At 47.3% G+C, this 20,792-nt stretch overlaps 1 protein-coding gene across 26 annotated transcripts in view, besides 4 other annotated features; it reads left to right on the forward strand.

Annotated features, from left to right (window-relative positions):
• The window catches only part of IFT122 (intraflagellar transport 122), an 80,284-nt gene that overhangs the window by 30,691 nt on the left and 28,801 nt on the right, over positions 1-20,792 (forward strand). For 25 of the 26 annotated variants that reach the window (NM_001280545.2, NM_052985.4, NM_001280541.2 and 22 more), the window contains 7 exons: positions 5,401-5,592; positions 5,749-5,887; positions 7,102-7,304; positions 8,871-9,008; positions 10,616-10,780; positions 12,571-12,768; positions 17,343-17,483. In NM_001280545.2, coding sequence (NP_001267474.1) covers positions 5,401-5,592; positions 5,749-5,887; positions 7,102-7,304; positions 8,871-9,008; positions 10,616-10,780; positions 12,571-12,768; positions 17,343-17,483 — 1,176 coding nt within the window. Of the gene's footprint in view, positions 1-5,400; positions 5,593-5,748; positions 5,888-7,101; positions 7,305-8,851; positions 9,009-10,615; positions 10,781-12,570; positions 12,769-17,342; positions 17,484-20,792 lie in introns of those variants that run through there. The other variant, XM_047448554.1, reaches the window with a different exon arrangement.
• Positions 10,405-11,282: an enhancer, noted in NCBI's record as "H3K27ac-H3K4me1 hESC enhancer chr3:129200162-129201039 (GRCh37/hg19 assembly coordinates)". NCBI's record gives its function as "activates a minimal SCP1, AML or CMV promoter by ChIP-STARR-seq in naive H9 embryonic stem cells {active_cell/tissue: H9 hESC(naive)}" and the evidence as "EXISTENCE:reporter gene assay evidence [ECO:0000049][PMID:30033119]".
• Positions 18,764-18,972: a silencer, noted in NCBI's record as "fragment chr3:129208521-129208729 (GRCh37/hg19 assembly coordinates)". NCBI's record gives its function as "represses an EF-1alpha promoter that drives an FKBP-Casp9 reporter gene in an ReSE screen in K562 erythroleukemia cells {active_cell/tissue: K562}" and the evidence as "EXISTENCE:reporter gene assay evidence [ECO:0000049][PMID:32094911]".
• Positions 19,372-19,666: an enhancer, noted in NCBI's record as "tiled region #10640; HepG2 Activating DNase matched - State 5:Enh, and K562 Activating DNase unmatched - State 12:CtcfO". NCBI's record gives its function as "activates a minimal TATA promoter and a strong SV40 promoter by Sharpr-MPRA in HepG2 and K562 cells {active_cell/tissue: HepG2 | K562}" and the evidence as "EXISTENCE:reporter gene assay evidence [ECO:0000049][PMID:27701403]".
• Positions 19,379-19,448: a silencer, noted in NCBI's record as "silent region_14725". NCBI's record gives its function as "represses an Ori minimal core promoter by ATAC-STARR-seq in GM12878 lymphoblastoid cells {active_cell/tissue: GM12878}" and the evidence as "EXISTENCE:reporter gene assay evidence [ECO:0000049][PMID:35858748]".

The raw sequence follows: 20,792 nt of genomic DNA on the forward strand, positions 1-20,792 counted from the left end.
TTTGAACATCATATACTGTAAGTATTCAGGAGCCATAGGTGGCAGGAAGTGGCATCACAGATTCTTGCTTCAGAAGAATAACTTGTTTCCATGGAGGGTGGATTAAAATATAGAGAGCATGGTAGTAGGATGACTTATTAGTAGGCAGGAAATGCCAAGGATTAGAGTAAAGGTGCTGGGTACAGATTTCACACCACAGCCAAGCAAGTGAGAAATGCAACCTGTGCAGTGAAGCCTTTAATTGCGTAGCATCCTTATTCCTCAAAACATGTCATGTAAGAGGGAAGAGTTTTAGATGTGTGTAGCCCAGCTTTTGGGCCATTTCTTCTACCCCTGCCTTACCATTGGTCATTTCTTTTGTATTCGAGTAAAGAAAAGATAAAGGGAGCAGATAATGAAGTATTTTCTCAGTTTCCCATGGCTGATTTCCTAAAACTCTCATTTTAATTAACTATCATCTAGTTTCCCTGGCCCTCTCTATTCATCTGCTTAATGTGTGTACATCATCATTCAACAGATACTTATTGGCACACCTACTGTGTACGAGGCACTGGATGTGGGTACTGAAGACTCTTGGGAACAAATAACCACACTGCAGTGGGAGGGAATGGGGTCTTGTTGCTATGGCCACAGAAGAAAAGAGCTCAACATGGCCGAGGGCCACAGGAAATATCTTGCATGTATGCAGCCCCAGAGCTCATGTTGTGGCCCAAAGTTTCTGCACGATGAGCAACCTTAACCTGCTGAGATGGTAACCCCAACTTGTTTGGGACAGTAAAATTGTTTTCTTGCTGGGTGTCTTCCCTTCCCAATCTAGGAAGATTTAGAATTCAATATAGGATGATGAAGTAAATCAAACCCATACTTTTGTGTTAGTCTGAGGTATAATTTGTGTATTTTTGTCATTTGAAGTGTTAGTAATACTTAAGGGGATCTGGCTTAATAATAATAATAGCTAACATTTATTGAATTCCAGGCATTATATAAACTCTTTACAAGGATTAACTCTTTTAATCCTTATAACAACCCTATGAGGTAAATACTGTTATCATCACCATTTTACATGTACGAAAATTGAAGCACAGAGAGGCTCAATAATTTGCCCAAAGGCACACATTTAGTCTGTGGTCCACCCTGCTGAAACCCAGGCATACTGGTGCCAGAATCCATATTAGAATGTCTATCAGATTAGTCTTGCAATGACCATTCAAAAGTTGTATTGAGTAATTTCATATGTCTGATTTTATTTACTTTTTGAGAAAAGGCCTCACCCTGTTACCCAGGCTGGAGTGCAGTGGTATGATCATGGTTCACTGCAGCCTTGATCCCCCTGGGCTCAAGGAATCTTCCCACTTTGGCCTTCCAAGTAGCTGGGACTACAGGCACATGCCACCACATCCTGCTAATTAAAAAAAAAAATTTTTTTTTTTTGGTAGAGATAGGGTCTCCTATGTTGTCCAGGCTGGTCTCAAACTCCTGGGCTCAAATGATTCTTCTGCCTTGGCTTCCCAAACTGCTGGGAATACAGGTGTGAGCCACCATATCTGGCCTACTTCTGATTTTAAGTGGAAAGATAAGAATTATATTTAAAGTGTATATTATTTAAGGTTCCTAAGCAATATTGGAATGCTTAAGCAATTTGTTACATTTTTCTTCTTGGTGTTCACTGAGCTTTTTGAATCTACACATTGATATCGTTCTGTCTTTCACCAAATGTGAAAACATTTTGGCCATGATTTCTTGAAATATTTCTTCTTCTCCATTCTTTCCTTTCCTCTGGAACTCTAATTACACTTACATTAGACCTTTTGTTACTGTTCTCCAAGTCATCGAGGCCCTGTTATTATTTTTTTAAATCCCTTCTTTTCCCTCTGATCTTCAGATTAGAGGATTTCTGTTGTTCAGTATTAAATTTCATTGACTCTTCTGCAACTTCCAATATTTTTCTTAAGCTCATTCAGTGTGTATTTGTTTCAGTTATTATTGCATTTTTCCTTTTCTAGAATTTCCATTTGGTTCTTTTTTCCTTTTTATTCATTACAAGCGTATTTTTCTTTATAGCCTTAATCATAGTTATAATAACTGTTTTAAAATTCTCATCTGCAGCTGGGCATGGTGGCTCATGCCTGTAATCTTAGTACTTCTGGAGGCCAAGGAGGGACGATTGCTTGAGGCCAGGAGTTCAAGACTAGCCTGGGCTACATAGAGAGACTCCATCCCTAAAAACGAACAAACAAATTGGCCAGGGAGGTGGCAGGCACCCATTGTCCTAACAACTCTGTAGGCTGAGGTGGGAGTATTCTCAAGCTGAGGAGTTCAAGGCTGCAGTGAACTCTTACCACTGCACTCCAGTGTGGGTGACAGAGCAAGACCTGTGCCCAAAAAGCAAACAAAAATTCTTATCTGCTATTTCTAACATTTGGGTCGTCATGGTTCAGTCTCCATTGATTTTTTTCCCTTGAATATGGTTCACATTTTCCTGCTTTGGGGAATTTTGAATTGTACTCAATATTGTGAGTAATATGTCATAAAGACTCATATCCATCATGTTCCTCTGAAGATTATTGTGTATGTTTGTGTGTATATATGTTTAAGCAGGCAGTTTACTTTGCTGGGCTCAAAATCAAAACTCCATGTTTTCAGTGGTGTCAGCAGCTGACATCTCTGTGCAGTTCTTTAGCTGTAGCTAGGCTGCTTGGCATCTTGTCACAGTTTATAGTTCAAGGGTTTCCAGATATTCAGTGGAGTTTATGTGCAGAATTTAAGCTCTTACTTTGCTTCTCTTTTCTGGGATTTCCCACTTCACTTTCCGGGTGCTGTGGTCCTCCCAAATTCTATACTCACCCAGCATGATGGTGAAGAGGGCTGCCCTCAGGCAAAAACCCTTAAAAAAATGAGAAGTTCACCTAGTGTTTGTTCCCTTCTTCTAAATGTGCATGTGTCTTCAGTTTCTGCCTGCTTTTGGTCGCCCTGAAATGGTTGTTGTTTATAGTTGGTCCAGAGTTTATTGTTGTTACTTTGTGGGAAGATTGGTCCGATGGGAACTAGTGAGCCATTTCCAGAAGCTGCTAGCCTTCCATGTCGTGATTCATAAGAATTTTTAGTTTTCTTGTTAGGTTTTCTAGCATCAGATAAGTGCTAGGGAAAGTTTTCGTTGCTAGGCATTTGAAATTCCTATACAGGAAAGGAAATTTGAATGTATTAAACTTATAATTGCAGTTTAAATTGGTGTAAGGGAATTAATTTAACTAAGTTTTAAATGGGACTGGATATTTAAGGGATTTTATAATCTGTTCAAAATTGGATGCCTTAAACAGTCAAAGTCAATTGGCTGTTCACTTTAACTAGATTTATAAATAGGAAAATATTTGTAAATTGAACTTAAGAACTTAAGGAGAAACCAGTTCCCTAAAGTTATTTCTTTTATAAATTGAATATTAGTTTAATAATGTTAATCACAAATCGTCTTTTTATTCACAAAAGACACCCTTGGGGCAGCAAAAAACTCCAGTGGTAATAAGGAACTTGGGCTTTAGTGGGGCAGACCTGATTAACCCTGTGTCTACAGACAACGAGAGAAGTGCAATGGGATAGGCGAGCACAAGTGCTGTGGGAGGATGAGGGGATGGGGATTGGAGATGTTCCTGGAGGAGATGACACCTGGCAGACAAAGTGAGGGAAAGAGCATTCCTGGCTGGGTCTAGGAATGGTGTGGAGTGTAGCACCTGTGAGGATGTGGAGGCCTGAAAAAGCATTGCCCGCTTAGGAAACTTACAAGTTCATTTTGGCTGAGAGAATGACCTTGGGGGCTGAGCTCGGGAGTTTGACCTGCATCCTAGAAGCTGAGGAAGCACCATCAAGAAAGAGAAAAGACAACCCACAGAATGAGAGAAGTTTTACAACTCATATATCTGATAAAGGACTTGTATCTGGAATATATAAAGAGCTATAAAGACAGGGCTGGGCATGGTGGTTCACACGTGTAATCCCAGTGCTTTGGGAGGCAGAGACAGGGAGATCACTTGAGAACAGGAGTTCAGGACCAACCTGGGTAACAGTGGGACCCCACCTCTAAAAAAATATATTTTTAATTAGCTGAGTGTGGTGGTATATGCCTCTAGTCCCAGCTACTGGGGGTGGTGAGGGGCTGAGGCAGAGGAATTGAGCCCAGAAGTTCAAGGTTGCATTGAGTTATGATCATACGACTGCATTCCAGCCTAAGCCACAGAGTGTGACATTTCTCTGTGGCCAATAAGCACATGAAATGATGCTCCATATCATTAGCCATCAGGAAAATGCAAATTGAAACCACAATGAGATAATTCGCACTCACTAAAATGGAGAAATTGGAATCCTCATACACTGCTAATGCAAATATAAAGTGGTGCATTCACTTGAAAAGTGTAGCAGTTCCTAAAAAAGGTTCAACGTAGAGTTTAAAAATAAAAAAATATAGGCCAGGAGCTATGACTCACTCCTGTAATCCCAGCACTTTGGGAGGCCAAGGTGGGTGGATCATCTGAGCTCAGGAGTTTGAGACTAGCCGGGACAACAAGGAGAAACACCGTCTCTGCAAAAAATACAAAAATTAGCCAGGCGTGTTCTCACACATCTGTAGTCCCAGCTACTTGGGAGGCTGAGGTAGGAGGATCACGTGAAGCTGGGAAGTGGAGGTTGCAGTAAGCCAAGATGGCGCCACTGCACTCCAGCCTGGGCAACAGAGTCAGACCCTTTTTCAAAAAAAAAATTTTTTGCCAGGCATGGTGGCACTCACCTATGGTCCCAGCTACTTAGGAGGCTGAGGCAGGAAGATCGCTTGAGTCCAGGAGTTGAAGGCTGCAGTGAGCCGTAATTGCACCACTGCACTCCAGCCTGGGTGACAGAGTGAGACCCCATCTTGAAATAAACAAGAATTAAAAAATGAAGAGAAGTAGTATGGGTGTAGTTGCAGAATAAAGGACAGTCTTTAAACTGAATAAACTCAGCTTTATAAAATACTTTTTTAAAAAGGCGGAGAAAAGAAGCTGAGGGAACCCATTGAACTATAGGAAGAACTATATTTGCAGAGGGAGGGGGGCCTTTGGGAACAAAACCACCCACAGTCTCCATCTTGGCGGAGGAGCCCTGACACACTCCTGCACTCCTGGAGCACTTGGGTGGGACTAGGGGAGGTGCCACTGACTCCAGGAGCTGAGGTTTGGGCTGTGTAGAGGATGAGTAGGGAGATGCAGAGGCAGAGAGGCCTGTGTTCACCATGGGATGACACAGGAGAAAAGGCTGGCCAGCTCTCCCTGTCTTCCCAACTCCCTCTAAAGTTGGCGAGAAAAAGCCCTTAATTGTATTGCAATGGTTATGGATTCGGAAATGGTTTTTCCCTTGCTGTGTGTTCTTTTTCCTCAGATTGGAAAGGATCGGGCACTGAACTTTGACCCCTGCTGCATCAGCTACTTTACTAAAGGCGAGTACATTTTGCTGGGGGGTTCAGACAAGCAAGTATCTCTTTTCACCAAGGATGGAGTGCGGCTTGGGACTGTTGGGGAGCAGAACTCCTGGGTGTGGACGTGTCAAGCGAAACCGGATTCCAACTATGTGGTAAGAAGAGAAAGTTTGTTCTGTGGGGCCATGGCTTGAAGAGGCACTGAGCAGCCGCCGTGTCTCGAGTCACATCACTGGGGTTTGTGTCTGACAAATGGGGGAATGCAGACTTTCTCCAGAGAGCTGGGAATTGACAGTTCTCTCACCCCGCAGGTGGTCGGCTGCCAGGACGGCACCATTTCCTTCTACCAGCTTATTTTCAGCACAGTCCATGGGCTTTACAAGGACCGCTATGCCTACAGGGATAGCATGACTGACGTCATTGTGCAGCACCTGATCACTGAGCAGAAAGGTAAGAGGCAGGTCCAGACCTTGGGAAGAGGGACAGGTGGAAGCAGGTGGAAAGGGCTGGTGACAGGGCACTTGAAATGACAGGAAAAGGTTTCTCTTTGGCGTTTTGCAAACCTGTTAGCCACTGGGTCTGTGTCTTGTTTTCTTTTTTTTTTTTTTTTGGTGGGGGAAGTAGGGATGCCAGTCTCCTTGAGGATCTCATGAAAGCAATAAATCCTCTCTGAAAAATGTACCAACTCAGAATTTTGCACATAATTTCAAGGAGTACATGAATTTCCTTAGTGAGGGAGGATGATTTATGACAGGTTGGAGCCAGGTGGTTGACCTGCATGGGTCTTCGTGGACCTTTATCCTTTCTGGTCAGAGTCACTCTGGGGTGCTTCTCCCTCAGCCCTGTCTCCACTTGCCTCCTGGTGGGTCCTTCTGCCAGAGATGAGCAGTGGAATTGGATTGGCACAGGCTAGGTCAGAAGATCAGAGTTCCCGGCCTCGCATAGTCATTCTAAGCCCTAAGACTGCAGTCTCTCCCTCTGTCCACTTAAGTTGCTGTGCTGGTTAAATAGACTCAATCCACTTACTTCAGGTGTATTCATATCTGGATGTGCTGGCCTTAGTGCACTGCTAGGTGCCTTTGCAAGGGATCCAGGTTGGGGGTTGTCTTGTAGATTCAGATGAGTGTCCTTTGGTCCCCCTGGGGGACCCTATCTTTTTGAAGATTCTGGCTGTGGTGGTTGGGGCAAAGCCCCTTGGGCAGCTTCACAGTGTCCCCCTTAGGGACATTTTCTCCACCTGGTCTGTAGTGGGAGTGTAGAGCCTGGTGTGTACCAGAAATTACATGTCTTCCCCGTTTGTCAAGGAGGTGGGCAGGGAGCGGCCAGAGGTGAGGTCAGTTACTTAGGCAGGCTTCTGATCACCGGGGGCCACTAGTGCTGTGCAGAGGAGTTTATATTTGTATCCAGCAAGTGATGGTAACAGTGAGTAGTTTATTTCCATACTCAGTTGTCAGCCTTGGACCATGAAGATTGTGTCCTATAGGACTTTGGATCCCAGGGTTCAGCAGAGTTGATTGTATGTATTAGATACTCTAAAGATTTTTCAATGAGAGTATCTCACTTTAATTGCCAGTAGCGCTAAGTAAATGATGGCTTTTAATTTCTCTGCCTTGCACCTTACATAACAACCTCTTGCTAGAACTAGATATTTTTTTCTTTGACAGTTCGGATTAAATGCAAAGAGCTTGTCAAGAAGATTGCCATCTACAGAAATCGATTGGCTATCCAACTGCCAGAGAAAATCCTCATCTATGAGTTGTATTCAGAGGACTTATCAGACATGCATTACCGGGTAAAGGAGAAGATTATCAAGAAGTTTGAGTGCAACCTCCTGGTGGTGTGTGCCAATCACATCATCCTGTGCCAGGTGGGCAGCAGCATGTTGAAGGAGTTGGGCTGAATTCCATTTGTGCTCCCCCCCCAGTGATAGGGTGCCCACCTCATGGTTTTAAAACTGGTCACTAGAAAACAAGTCTGTTCCATCAAACTAAGTGGTGCTTATTGGCTTTCATTTTCCTGGCATCTGGATGAACCAGACTCTATCAGCAAGTCATGAGCCATAAACTGGAGAATGTTTTTTTGTTTTATTTTATTATTTTTTAAAAAATATTTTTCTTGAGACAGACAGGGTCTTGCTCTGTTGCCCAGGCTGGAATGCAGTGGCACAATTATGGCTCACTGCAGCTTTGACCTCCCAAGCTCAAGCGGTCTTCCTCCTGAGTAGCTGGCACCACAGGCACATGCCACCACACCCAACTAATTTTTTATTTTTAGTAGAGACGCGAGGCTGTACTTTGGGAGGCTAAGGCGGGAGGAATGCTTGAACCCAGGAGTTTGAGACCTGTCCAGCTTCCTAAAGTACTGGGATTATAGGTGTGAGCCACTGTGTCTAGCCAAGAATACCTTGTTCTATTGCAGAACATCTTGTCATACTGGGATTAGATATACTTTAATGACTTAAAACATAAATTGGTGTACAGAATGAAGATAGTTTTTATTGATAAGCATATACACATAAAATTTGTATCAACTCAGTAATTGTCAAGGAAGTTTTAATTCCTGAAAGATTTTTTTTCATAGAAAAATATTTCTCAAGATTCTTAGAGAGTGTCTAAGTCAATGCCAAGAGAAGTTTGGAAAGACTTTGAGAGAAGGCTAGCCCAGCATCTTGGAAGTAGAGGTGGATTTAGTTTTACATAGTTCTGTTGGAGGTGATAAAAGAGAAGAATTCCTTAGGAATCACTGTAGTGTAAAATACTATTAAAATCTCTCAAAAGCCTAGAACTGGGCTGGGTGCAGTGGCTCATGCCTGTAAATCCCAGCACTTTGGGAGGCCAAGGCAGGATGATTGCTTGAGGCTAGTAGTTCGAAAGCAGTCTAGAAAACAGAGACCCCATCTCCACCAAAAAAAAAAAAAAAAAAAAAAAATTATTTAATTAGCTGGGTGTGGTGGCGCTTGCCTGTAGTCCCAGCTACTTGGGAGGCTGAGGCAGGAGAATTGCTTTAGCCAGAAATTGGAGGCAGCAGTGAGCTATGATAGCGCCACTACACTCCAGCCTGGGTGACAGAGTGAGACTCTGTCTCAAAAACAAATAATAAATAAATAATCAAAGTTAGAACTCCAAGCGGTTTAGGGTTGCTACAAATTACAGGATAGATGTGGCAAGTATGTGTACTTTTGAGTGCTGCCTCTGGCCTAGGCTGCCTGGGTGGGGGTTTGCATTGAAGATCTGAGGCTGAATTGGGCTCCGTGGGGAAGCCTTGCATGGAGTCTTGGATTAACGATGCCAATCGTGGGGTCTACATTGGGTTAGATAGATGGATACTGAATGTGTAGGTATTTTCTCCCCTTAGGGACAGAAAGATCTCCTTGGGGAGGTCTGGGGGCACTTATTCTGTTGAATTTCCATGCAGAGCTGGGTTTGCTTCCTAGGAGAAACGGCTGCAGTGCCTGTCCTTCAGCGGAGTGAAGGAGCGGGAGTGGCAGATGGAGTCTCTCATTCGTTACATCAAGGTGATCGGTGGCCCTCCTGGAAGAGAAGGCCTCTTAGTGGGGCTGAAGAATGGACAGGTGAGTGCTCCCTCACGTCTCCTGTCAGGCTGATAATCTGCATGCACACGTGGGTGACCCGTCTAGCAATGACTCTGAGCTGGGTTCTCAGGGCAGGAAAAGGGCTTCTCTCCTCCATGGGTGAATTGTGGGGCAGCCTGAGTTCAGTTTTTTGAGGACAGCCTCAGGCCAAAGGTGCTGTGGCCCTCACACTCCTAGCAGGCCCACGTTTTGGCAGAGTTGAGCTATAACCTTTGGCTACATGTAGAGTGTATTAGTGGCTTAAGGTCTCCAGAAGGTGGGAGATTTGTTAGAGATGTTGCTTCTGTGGATTTCTAGAGGGAGGCAGAGATCGTTACCTAGGTCAGCTCCTGATTAGGGCAGCGAGTGGATTAAGGCAGTGCGTTCCAGCATGTGTCCTAAAGAATGCTGGGTCCTCAAGATACTGATAGATGTCATAAGCAAAATGGGCCCTTTGGCCAGTTAGATGTGGGATATCCAGGTTACACAAAATTCTGTGTGTGTGTATACATGTGTACACGTGTGTTCTTTGCTCAGCATAAGAAAAGTTCTAAGTAGGCTGCTACATGGAACTTTGAAAGTGACAATGTAGCTGCATTAGCCTGACAGCCAAGCTGTGCAGCAGATGGCTTATGGCTGAGGCTTGTCAGGTCTTTGCTGGGGATGGAAGTCACAGGGCATGAGAGCAGTGGGTGAAGTCAAGCAGCAATGCCAAGGGGAGGAAGGGCCGCTTATTTCTCAGGCAGCTCTCACTTCCAATGGGAGCATGGACTATGGGGTCAGGTGGGCCGGAGGTCGTGTTCTTACTTAGCTACTCACTGGCTTTGTCATCCTGGGCAGGTCACTTTACCTCTGTGAGGCTGGTTTTACATGAGGATAATACCACATATTTCATAGGGCTGTCAAAAACAGATATCATCAGGGTTGGGAGTTAAAGCCAATGTTAAAAACAAAACAAAACAAAAAAAACACCAGGGGTATTAAAACAGGCATGGTGGAGGGTACCTGTTTTCCCAGCTACTCAGGAGGCTGAGATAGGAGGATCACTTTGAGCCCAGGAGTTTGAGGCTGCAGTGTGATATGATTATACCTGTGAATAGCCACTGCGATCAGCCTGGGCAACATAGCAAGACCTTATCTCTAAAAAAAATTTTTTTTAAACCAGGGATATCAGTAAATGATAGCTATCATGATCACTATCATCATTATTATAATTTTCTACCACATGTCTTGTCAGTGTTCATAGTAGCTTTTTCCTGTGTTAGTTCGTGACTCAGATCTCTGCTAGGTGGCATCTCCTAAAGCTGCAGTTTGGGTAATGTCATCAACAAATCCCCAGTCCGAACAGACACTGAAGTGAGCTCGGCCTGTCTCAGGGCTGTCATTACTTCTGCAGCCTCTGATGAACCTCGCTTCTGGCCTCCTAAGGATAAGCCATTGCCCCCCACCCCCCTCTTTCTTTTGATGAGTCCTTTTCCCTGCACAGAGCTTCTGGTGAAGGTGGTGGGAGTTGTTCTTGCAGAGCACATGGGATTCCAACGGCCTGGCAGTGGGCCAGGATCTTGTTGCCATGGTGACTGACACTGTTTTCGCTGAAATTTTGCCAGATCCTGAAGATCTTCGTGGACAATCTCTTTGCTATCGTCCTGCTGAAGCAGGCCACAGCTGTGCGCTGCTTGGACATGAGTGCCTCCCGTAAGAAGCTGGCCGTGGTAGATGAAAATGACACTTGCCTGGTGTATGACATCGACACCAAGGAGCTGCTTTTTCAGGTGAAGTCCCTGAGGGGGCCCAGGGACATCATCCTTTGATTAGAGACTCTCCTCTAGCTTCCCAGTCCCTGCAGGAGGCTCTCCTGCTCTGGCCCAGGCAGGTCTCTGGGAGGGGCAGGGGCCAAGCACATGCACAGAGTCCCAGAGGCCCTGGGCCACAACCTGCTCCTCCCACACAGGCACAAGCCGCAGGGCCTGGACCGGCCTCTTTAACTTTGGTTTCCTTGCCAATGGAAACCGAAGGCTCTGAGCCAGCAGAGCCTTTCTTAAGCGTTTACCATGAACAAGAAATGGGGCAATGACTCTGAGAGGGGTGTGACGTTGGCACTCAGTGAATGGGGCGATGGATGCACTTCCTTTGCAGAAGTCTGTGTCTCACCTGCTGCAGGCCTGCCTGTGTCTATGCGCACCTACAGCGTGGGAAGGAAACAGGATGTTTTGTCATCTGAAAGGGGGAAGGGGATGGGCAAGCCTGGCCTTCTACTTAATTCACAAGAATGCTAGAAGAGCCAGCAGAATGCGAAGTGCTTGGATCTTTGGGGTTGTAGGCGTTGTTCAGTGGAGTCATCCAGCCCTGTGGCCTGAGGAAGTGTGTCACCAGAGAAGACAGCCCGGCAGCTCTGTGCCCCGGGCCTGGTTGGCTTTCTGCTGGGCTCGCGCCATTCTTTCTCTCTTTAGGTCTTTGTAGGTGGTCAGGACTGGTTTTCCAGAGTGAAGTTCCCCCCAAAGCTGGAGCCCCTCCTGACTGGTTTCCTCGGCCACTGCAGGGTTTCCTGATGTTATGGGCAGATTCAGTCCCCTTACCAGGCTCCTCCTTGTTCTCAGCAGCAGAATCGATGGGGGAGGGGTCTGGAGTGGGGAGCAGCCTCAGTCAATTAGAAGGAGTTACCTGGCCACCTCTAGCCCAGAGGTAACTCCATGTCAGTCTCAACTCACTCATGTCCTTGAGAGAGTAGAATGGTTTCGGGGAAAGAGAGGGCATAGCCTTCAAGCTGACCTGGGCTTGGGTCCTGCCTGCATCCCTTACTGTGTGATCTTAAGTTAGTGAGCCTCTCTGAGCCTTAATTACTTTTCTCTAAAATGAAATTAGTAATTGCCCCTTACAGAATTGCTACAGGAATACACTAGATACTACAGTGCCTAGCTCAGTGTTGAGCACAAAATGGGGCCTGAAATGTTACTTCCCTTCTCCCCAGCCTCACCTCCCACCTATAGGGGGCATAGCTGGCCCCAAATGTGAATCTTGTGTCTGAGCCTAGAATCATACAAGTGTGGAAGGGCGTCTGTGCTGCCCCATCCCCACTGCTGGCTCTATGGCAGGCTAGGGGAGGTGATTCTCAGCCCTGCCAGGAGACATCAGCATTCCCAGCTGTAACATTGCCTGCTGGCTTTTCCTCTTCTCCACTGCCCCTCCCTCTACACATAAAACAGCTATATTGATTTTTTCTCATTATAAAAAACAATCCATGCTGATTATAAAAGATTTAGTCATTATAAAAGATCCTAGGCAGAAAGGTATGAGCATATTTCAGGAGAATAATTTTTTTTCAAAAGTAATACTTGCTTACTCAAAAATTCCAACAACACGCAGGTGCATGGAGGGGCTTGCCTCTGTTCATTTCTCTTGCCTCTGTTCATTTCTTTGTGGTCCCCTTTCATCCTTTTCCCTCCATCCCACTGTAAGCAATTTAGTGGGATTCAGTCTTTAAGAGGGTATTGGGCTGAAATGTGTGAGCGCTGACCAAGCCCAGGGTGGTTCTCACAGGATCCCCACTGTCCCTGTTCCCCAGGAACCAAACGCCAACAGTGTAGCTTGGAACACCCAGTGTGAGGACATGCTCTGCTTCTCGGGAGGAGGCTACCTCAACATCAAAGCCAGCACCTTCCCTGTGCACCGGCAGAAGCTGCAGGGCTTTGTGGTCGGCTACAATGGCTCCAAGATCTTCTGCCTCCATGTCTTCTCCATTTCTGCCGTGGAGGTGCCGCAGGTAACTGGGGGTGCCTGTCCACTCTTAGCACTGGCAAGGCTGACAAGACCAGGGAAGCTGGGCCCTTTGCTGGTGCTTTGGGGAGAGAGTAGCAAGGAGAGAAGAATGGCAGCTGTGAGGTCGTGGGAGGCAGTCTGGGCCTGGAACCTGCCGCCCTGTCTCCACTCCTTGCAACCTGTGTGACTGGGGGCAAACAGCTCAACCTCCCTGAGTATCAGTTTCTTCCTTGTCCCCTTTCTGTAGGGATGGGAGGGGTATGCAGTGTTGTCAGCAGCGTGTGTTTTGCAGAGAGCCCAGCGTGGGGCCGAATGGAGTGAGCAGCAAAGCCGGGAGTCCGGCAGGGTGTGTGTGTGAGTACGTGTGTGATGGTGGTGATGTGTGTGTGAGAGAGAGGGGAGAGAGAGAATGAGTGGGTGGGGGGTGTGGGCTGAGGTCTGTGAGCCAATAAGGGAGCATGGGACTCTGCACAAGCTCTCTGAACCAGGAGGTGGCCAGAACAGAAATGGGGCACTGAAGGGTGGAGCCACAGAATGGGGGAGGGCAGAACCACAGACAGGCGCCTGAGATTGACCTCCCGAATGCAGGATGGTCTCCCCTCCACCTTCTGCACCCCAGGCAGATGGTGCTCACTGTAGAATTGCCATAAAACAGAGACGTGCATAGCGAGAAACTGTAGCCTTCAGCATCCCATCCTCAGGACAGAATCACTCTTAAACATGTTGAAATACATCTGCTTAGCGCTTTTCTACGTGTATATATAATATATGCATAATATACAATTAGGAGCATGTGGTTTTATAAGAACATTTTTAAACAAAAGTGGAATCACACTGCAAATACTTTTCATGACTTTTATGTGTATACGTATTGCTACCTATAGATGGAACCTCAGATTTACTGTATTCCCTGAGCCTGGCCTGTAAACAAGACTTCTCATCCCTTCCTTTATGGCTATCTTCTCATTTCACCTCACATTCGGTTATGGCAGCCCCATCACTGTCTATGAAGTGCTGGCTGTACACTAGTCATCTGGCCTTTTCACTCAACAATCTCCTAAAGCATCGTTCTGTGTCAGTAAATGGTAAATGTTCTTATTCTGCATGGCAAAATTTAGGGTAATTGTAGACTCACATAAATTGTAGGAAATAATACAGAGATCCCTTAAACCCTTTGCCTAGTTTCCCCCAACGGTAACAGTGTGCATAGCTCTAGAGTGATCTTCCCACCCATGTTGGCATGTGTAATCTCCCACCACAGTCATGGCACTGAACACTGCCACCACCACAAGGTCCCTGGTGTTGTGCTTTTTACAGCCAGCACCCCTCCCTCCTGCCTGGTCCCCACCTGCCTTGTATTTACAGCTGCATTTTATTGTGTCTTGTGGATGTTCCACAGCTTTCTTTACCAGTCCTACTGGACATGTTTGCTGCTTATAGCTTTTTTGTATTATTGTAAATAGCAGGCATCTTTCTAGCTAGGTCCTTGCACCTGTCCCAACTTGGCGCCTTGGCATAAATTCCTAGAAATGAAATTGCTGGGTCAAAGCACGTGTACCTTTGAAAGACTTTTAGGGAAATTTCCAGGTTTCCCTTCCGCTAGGCTCTGTCAGTCTGTTTTCCCCATACAACTCAGCTTCAGGCTAGAGCCCACTTCTTCTAAGTTGATGATACCCTCGAAACTCATGACTGCAAGACTTACTGGGGAAATGCCCATCATCCATGCCTGACACAGATCAGCTATTCAAGAAATGTTAGTGGAATTCAGATCTGAGGAAAAAGACCAGAAAGCAAGAGGAAGAAGGGAATGAGGTGGGTGGAAGTGGCAGCAGGACGAGGGGCACGAACAGCTTCTCCTGGACTGTGTCCTCGTCATCCTTGTCTGCCCCATTACAAACCCACGCACCACATCCACCAGGAACTCATCTCCCTCAATTGCCCCAAACTAGCTCTGCTTATTTTATTAAAAGGTTTTCTCCCAAGATTGCCATCCTGACCTCAAAAATAAATGCAGTTTGCTGCTCTCTGACTGTGGCCGGCCAAGAGGAGCCAGAGGGGCAGCCTGGGGCTTCCTCTGCCAGGACTTTAAGATTCAGCAGCAAAGTCTTGCTGACTGCACCAAGGCCATCCTGCTGACGCAGCGGGTCAGGACTGCCAAGGGTTAGGAAACACATTCTCAAGACAAAGGCTGTTCATCTGTCGCCTCTGCCTCCGGCCATCCTGTGGTTTTGGCCCAGAGAGGAGGGAGAAAGCATCAGACCCAGTCTTGGAATTTTTGGTTGCCTTTCGAAATTTACATTGTCTTGTGCAAGAACTGGTTTGTCAGGGCTGCCAAGTAGGACAACGAGCCCTAGGAGGGCTTCTCAAGGCGGTGGTGACTTCATGTTTGAAATCCAACAGCAAGATAAAGTATAGCTCAGAGAGTATTTGTTCAGTGGGGTCTATTTTTAAAACTCCACTCAAATTGTGCCTCCCAAGTAAGTCCAAGTGTTAGCCATCCATCATATGCTCAGCTGTGATATGCCTGCCTGAGTGCCTGTCCCACTCACGGGGCAGTCAGCATGGCAAGCAGTTGGTGTGGTTCGGGGAAGGAGCACCAGCTTTCAGTCCTGACTCTGCCATCTCAAGCAGCTGTAACTAGAGCAACTCATTTCACTCTTTGGGGCCTCATTTCTTTTCTGTGAAATGGGGTTAATTATACCCATCTTTCAGGTTTCGTCAAGCCAAATTTCTATTATTATTTCTCCTTATTACTGACTCATAAAATAGCAAAAACCACAAAACACAACTAAATTGCAACAGGCTGTACTTACTGACGGACTTTAGAAAGGAAAGCTCATTGTGTGCTTTAAGAAAAGCTTTCAGGAGTTTGAGAAAGCTTCCAGGAGATGGTGAAACTTGATCTGAGCCCTGAGAGGTCTGGAAAGGAAGAGTGGAGCAGGGAAGCTTTTCAAACAAAGGGAAAGGTGGGGGTAGGAACAAGACTGGAGAGCCTGGGAGATGGTGAGGAGCTGGTGCTGAGAAAATACAGTGAAGGTAATGATCATGCCTGCATTTTGCCCAGTGCTTCATTATTTTTGGAGCACATCTCTCCTTTGCCCATGGTAGCCTGAGCTGGGCAGGACATCTAAACAGAAGTTAATGGATTTACCCAAAAAGTCACCAGCCTAGGATGTGGCTGAGCCTGGCCTGGGTTCTAGGTCACCTGCTCCGTAGCCTATGCCTGCTGCCCCGCTAAAGGGAGCATTTAATGTGCCAATGAGGAGAGATGGCATGGTGGAAAAGATAAGCACTTGGAAGCAGCCATGTTTTGCTCTGAGAGTAGACAGACTCAAAATAAAAAAAATTCCTTCAATTCTAAAGCTAAAAAATGGGACTGGAAATTTCAAAGACAGACAAAAGCCCCAAATGGAGAAAACAATACTTCAAGCTCCACATTTGGGAACCATTAGCACAGAGGTCCTGGCTGATTTCTCTTCCCTGCCCAGGAAGCCAGGAGAGATGCAGGCCACTGAAGCACACTGGCTGGCCTAAAACAAGGGCAAGGCCTTTCCTTGTTAAAGATGTCATGGCCCAACTCAAGACTCATTCTCAGGCCTGCACGCACATATGCACATATACACGCGTGCATACATGTGGCAGGAAGGGGCACAGAACCTGGAGTCCAGTCACCTCTGGCTATTGCCAGCTATTTGCTGGGACAGGTCATTTGTCCTCTCTGAGTCTCGGTCTCCTGGGCTGTAGCCAGGGAGAAATAATACCTACTGCACAGGACTGTGGGGACAGCCAAAAGCCTTTTATAAACCTAAGAAAGAGAAGTCGTTAGGAACTATTCATGGGCACTCACAGCAAGGCAACCCCATCTTGTAGGAGGGCATCTGTCCCCAGGGCAGGGATCAGGAGAGCTGTTTCCAGAGGCTTCCAGGGTAACTTGGAGCAAATCACTTACCTTTCTTGGACTCAGTCCCTGGAAGAAGAGGCCATTCCAGACCGCTTCCTCCCACGAACTCATTCATTGTGTCAGCAAACGTAGACTGGGGTTCTGCTGAGGGAGGCCGATACAACCCACCACTGCCCACGGCTGTGCACGGCTTTGCTGTGGGAACAGGCCTGTAACTGCGGCACAACCTGCGATCTGGACAAAGGGCAGAGGAAGCTGAGACTCTTTCCCCTGGGGTGGGGGCTTGAGGGGCTTGGGAGGACTCTGCAGAAGAGGTGACATTTCAACAGGGCCTTGAAAGCCAAATAGGTATTTTCCAGAGGCAGAGTGGGGAGGGGCAAAGGCATTCCAGGTGAGGGTGACATCCTATGGCGAGGCAGGCCTGTAGGTGGGAAGGAGGGGAGGATGGGCAGAGAGTTTGTGCTGTGGAGCACAGTAGCCCAGTCATGAGAGAGGTGCAGGATGGAGCACACAGGGTGGGCTGGGCAGGCTGGGCAGGGTGCTGATTGGCGGCTGCAGGGCTGCTCCCCAGGCATGGGTAATCATCCCACGCATCTGGAGGCAGGCTCTGTATGCATCTGGTTCTTTCCATGGCTCTGAAAACAGTCTTCTTTTTTTCCCTTGATGAAATCCTGCAGTCCGCTCCCATGTACCAGTACCTGGATAGGAAACTGTTCAAGGAAGCCTACCAGATTGCTTGCTTGGGTGTCACAGACACTGATTGGCGTGAACTGGCCATGGAAGCGCTAGAAGGTTTAGATTTTGAAACAGCAAAGAAGGTAAGCATCTAGCCAGCAGGAGCTGGAGTTTGGTCCTTGTGGGGTCCCTTAAGAAGGCAGATGGGGACCCAGGTGGCACGGAGAGGCCATAGACTGCAGCAGTCTCTGGAGTTAGGCTGACCTGGGCTTGTATCTTAGCCACTTCCTCACTGTGGGCCTGGGTAGGTGACACCCTTTCTAAGATTGCTTCTCTATAGACGTAGGATGATGACAGGCCCCATCCTCACAAAGCTGTGAGGATCAAATGGGAGGATGCCTGTAAAGCCTGACCCAGGAGCAGCATGTCAGATTCTGGCTGTCACTCTTATTAGCTGTTCTCTGTGGGAAGCACCTGACTAGTAGCCTGGCACATCACAGGCACTCCGTAAATGGCGGCTTTTATTATCGGTGTAGTCACTGGCCATGATGCTGCACACAATGCTGCTTTTCTTAGCATCTGCCAACTAAGGTGGGAGAGATGGTCAAGGTCTCTGATTCTGACAGCAATGTGGGCACTTCCCACGTACCTTCATGGCGGGATTCATGGACTTGATTCGTTGTGTCCTTTCCTGGCCTAGTCTATGAAAGCTAGAGAGATGGCTGAAAACATCTGACCCCTCTCTGCACATAAGGAAAAGCCCAGGTATGTTCCTGAGCTGTGTTTCCATCTAGAACCTCAGATGGAGGAAGGAATGGCTTCCAACCTCCACTCCCCTACCCCTTCCCTCTTTATCTCCCCACAGTCAATTAATGAGCTGCTCATTTTGTCCATATTCCCGGGCTGACATTGAAGGAGTGGCAAAGAGGGACGTGATGCCCGCCTTGGGTTAGATCAAGACTTGTAGGCATGAAGAGAGGAGACTGGACCAGACCAGGACTAAGAAGCCTGGCTGAGAACGAGCTGTGTCACATAAGGGGCTCTGGGACCTCAGGCCAGCCACTTTCCTTGGAGCCCCAGTCCTCCCAGTTCTGAAATGGGGGTGGTGAGAATGCCCGCTGCAGTCATGAGGCTTAACTGAGATGTTGTAAAGGGGAATTTAAATCAGGGATGGTTGTGCAGATGCTAGCCATTACTAAACAAGGGAAGTGATCGTTGTGTAACAATGATCTAGATTATATTTTTAGATGTCCTCAGTGTAGGAAAGTGGAGATGGAGGAGGCTGTAAGAATTCAGAGGAGGGGCCAGGCGCGGTGGCTCACGCCTGTAAATCCTAGCACTTTGGGAGGCCGAGGTGTGCGGATCACAAGGTCAGGAGATCGAGACCATCCTGGCTAACACGGTGAAACCCCGTCTCTACTAAAAATACAAAAAATTAGCCGGGCATGGTGGCAGGCGCCTGTAGTCCCAGCTACTCCGGAGGCTGAGGCAGGAGAATGGCGTGAACCTGGGAGGCGGAGCGTGCAGTGAGCCGAGATGGTGCCACTGCACTCCAGCCTGGGCCATAGAGCAAGACTCTGACTTAAAAAAAAAAAAAAAAAAGAATTCAGAGGAGGGAGGAGGCATCTCTATGGAGGGAGCTTCCCTCTCCTGCCCCACCCAGAAATGCCAGCAGGGAGGGAGACGACAAATCCCTAGAATAGAAAGGATTGTAAAAAGCCACAAGGTTTAATATGAGTGTTTACTGATATTTTTATAAATATATATATTTTTATATATTTGTTTAAATATTGAGACGGGGACTCACTGTGTTGCCCAGGCAGGTCTTGAACTCCTGGGCTCAAGCAGTCTTCTTGCCTCAGCCTCCCAAAGTGCTGGGATTACAGGTATAAACCACCACACCCAGCCAGATTTACTATAGTTGAAAAGTAAGTGTATGTGGTATATATCTATTGTGTACAACATGCTGTTTTGAAAAAGCCACATGATATTGAAGATAGGCTGGATGTTACTATTTCATCTAAATCCCGAGTACCCCACCTCTTTACTCTGTGCCAGGCACTCAGGCTCACCAGCTTGGATATAGTGGTTCCTAGAGATGGACAGCCATCCCCACTAGATGGCAGAGAAGAGCTGCTGAGCTCCCGCCAGACCCTGAGCAGAGCTGCAGGTTCCTCCCTATTCCCAGGCTTCCCTCTGCTGAGCTCATTCAGGGGCCTTGTGACTCTGACCAGGCACCCTGACGCTGCAAAATGTGTCAGGTTGAAGGAACTCGGAAACAGATTTATTAATGGGCAAATCCTAGACACTAGCACAGCTGAGCTACAGCTAGAAAGACCCTTGAGAGGGTGTCAGTAGCAGGCCCCTTTCCACAAAGAAGATGGTTGGAGCCCAGAAGCAGAGAAGTAGGCTCAGAGCGAGGACTCAGACCTCGAATGCTCCTTTCCCTCTTGGCCACTGTGCTGGGCTTTGCAGGGTTGCCCTCTCAAGGCGCTTTAAGGAAACCCAGATCTAGAGGGTGATGTGTAAGACCTACAGCTTGGGACACAGGTAGTCTTAGCCCTGTGTTCCTTGGCCCATGTGATGCCCGCATTGCCCTTTTCTACGAATTCCTCTTCACAAACACTTGTTTGCCAGGTTCTGACTCTGATGCCTCCCTTAACGCTGCCTCCCACCCCTGCTCATGCTCAGACCATTCATCCGTGTTCTCCAGGCATGTGGTTCGTAGTTGGAGAGCTCTTAGCTCTGGGAGGTGTCATGATCTGTTTAATTGACCAGCTTTCCCTGTTAGAATGTGGACCTCTGAATTGTGGAGGGGGACAGGGGCCGAGACATGTTTCTCCCTGGGTCCTCAGTCTCTTGACAGGAAGCCTGGTCCTGTGGGATGAAAAGATAAAGTTGCATTGTGGTCACCTGCAAGGCAGGCCGGGGACTTGCTCATCTCCCGAGGTCTTTTCAGGAGGGAGGATGCCATGCTGCTGAGCAGAGGCTGCAAGTGGTCAGGATTGCTCTGCGTGTTCAGTTCAAAGGGCTCTGGAGCTGCTGCCTCCTCTAGGCACAGGTCAGCCCATTTTGAATGGGGCAATAAATGGTGACAGCAAAGCCACCTGAAAGCAGCCTGACCTGGTGGCTTGTGCTCCTCCAAACCCTGGGCAGAATCTGAAAGCAGCAAAACTAGCTTAGCTAACACCAGTCTGCTTGTTCCTCAGAAACTTCTAGAGGTCCATGAGTTAAAGTCTCTGGCTTTACTGTGAGTTCAAGGCAAGGGCTGCAATTTTAGGGTTTACATAAAGAGTTTGCCTTCCACAGACTTGGTGGGATTCATTCCCTACCCCTCCACCTTCTTCCAGAATCTGTCTTTATACCCTCTCAGCTTTCCCCTCCTCTGCTCCCTCTGTGGTACCAGGGGCTCTGGGTCCCCTGTGTCTGTGGCACCACTGGGTAGGCATAGC

This window comes from Homo sapiens, chromosome 3 (assembly GCF_000001405.40).
Source record: "Homo sapiens chromosome 3, GRCh38.p14 Primary Assembly".
In the NCBI taxonomy this organism is placed as follows: Eukaryota; Metazoa; Chordata; class Mammalia; order Primates; family Hominidae; genus Homo; species Homo sapiens.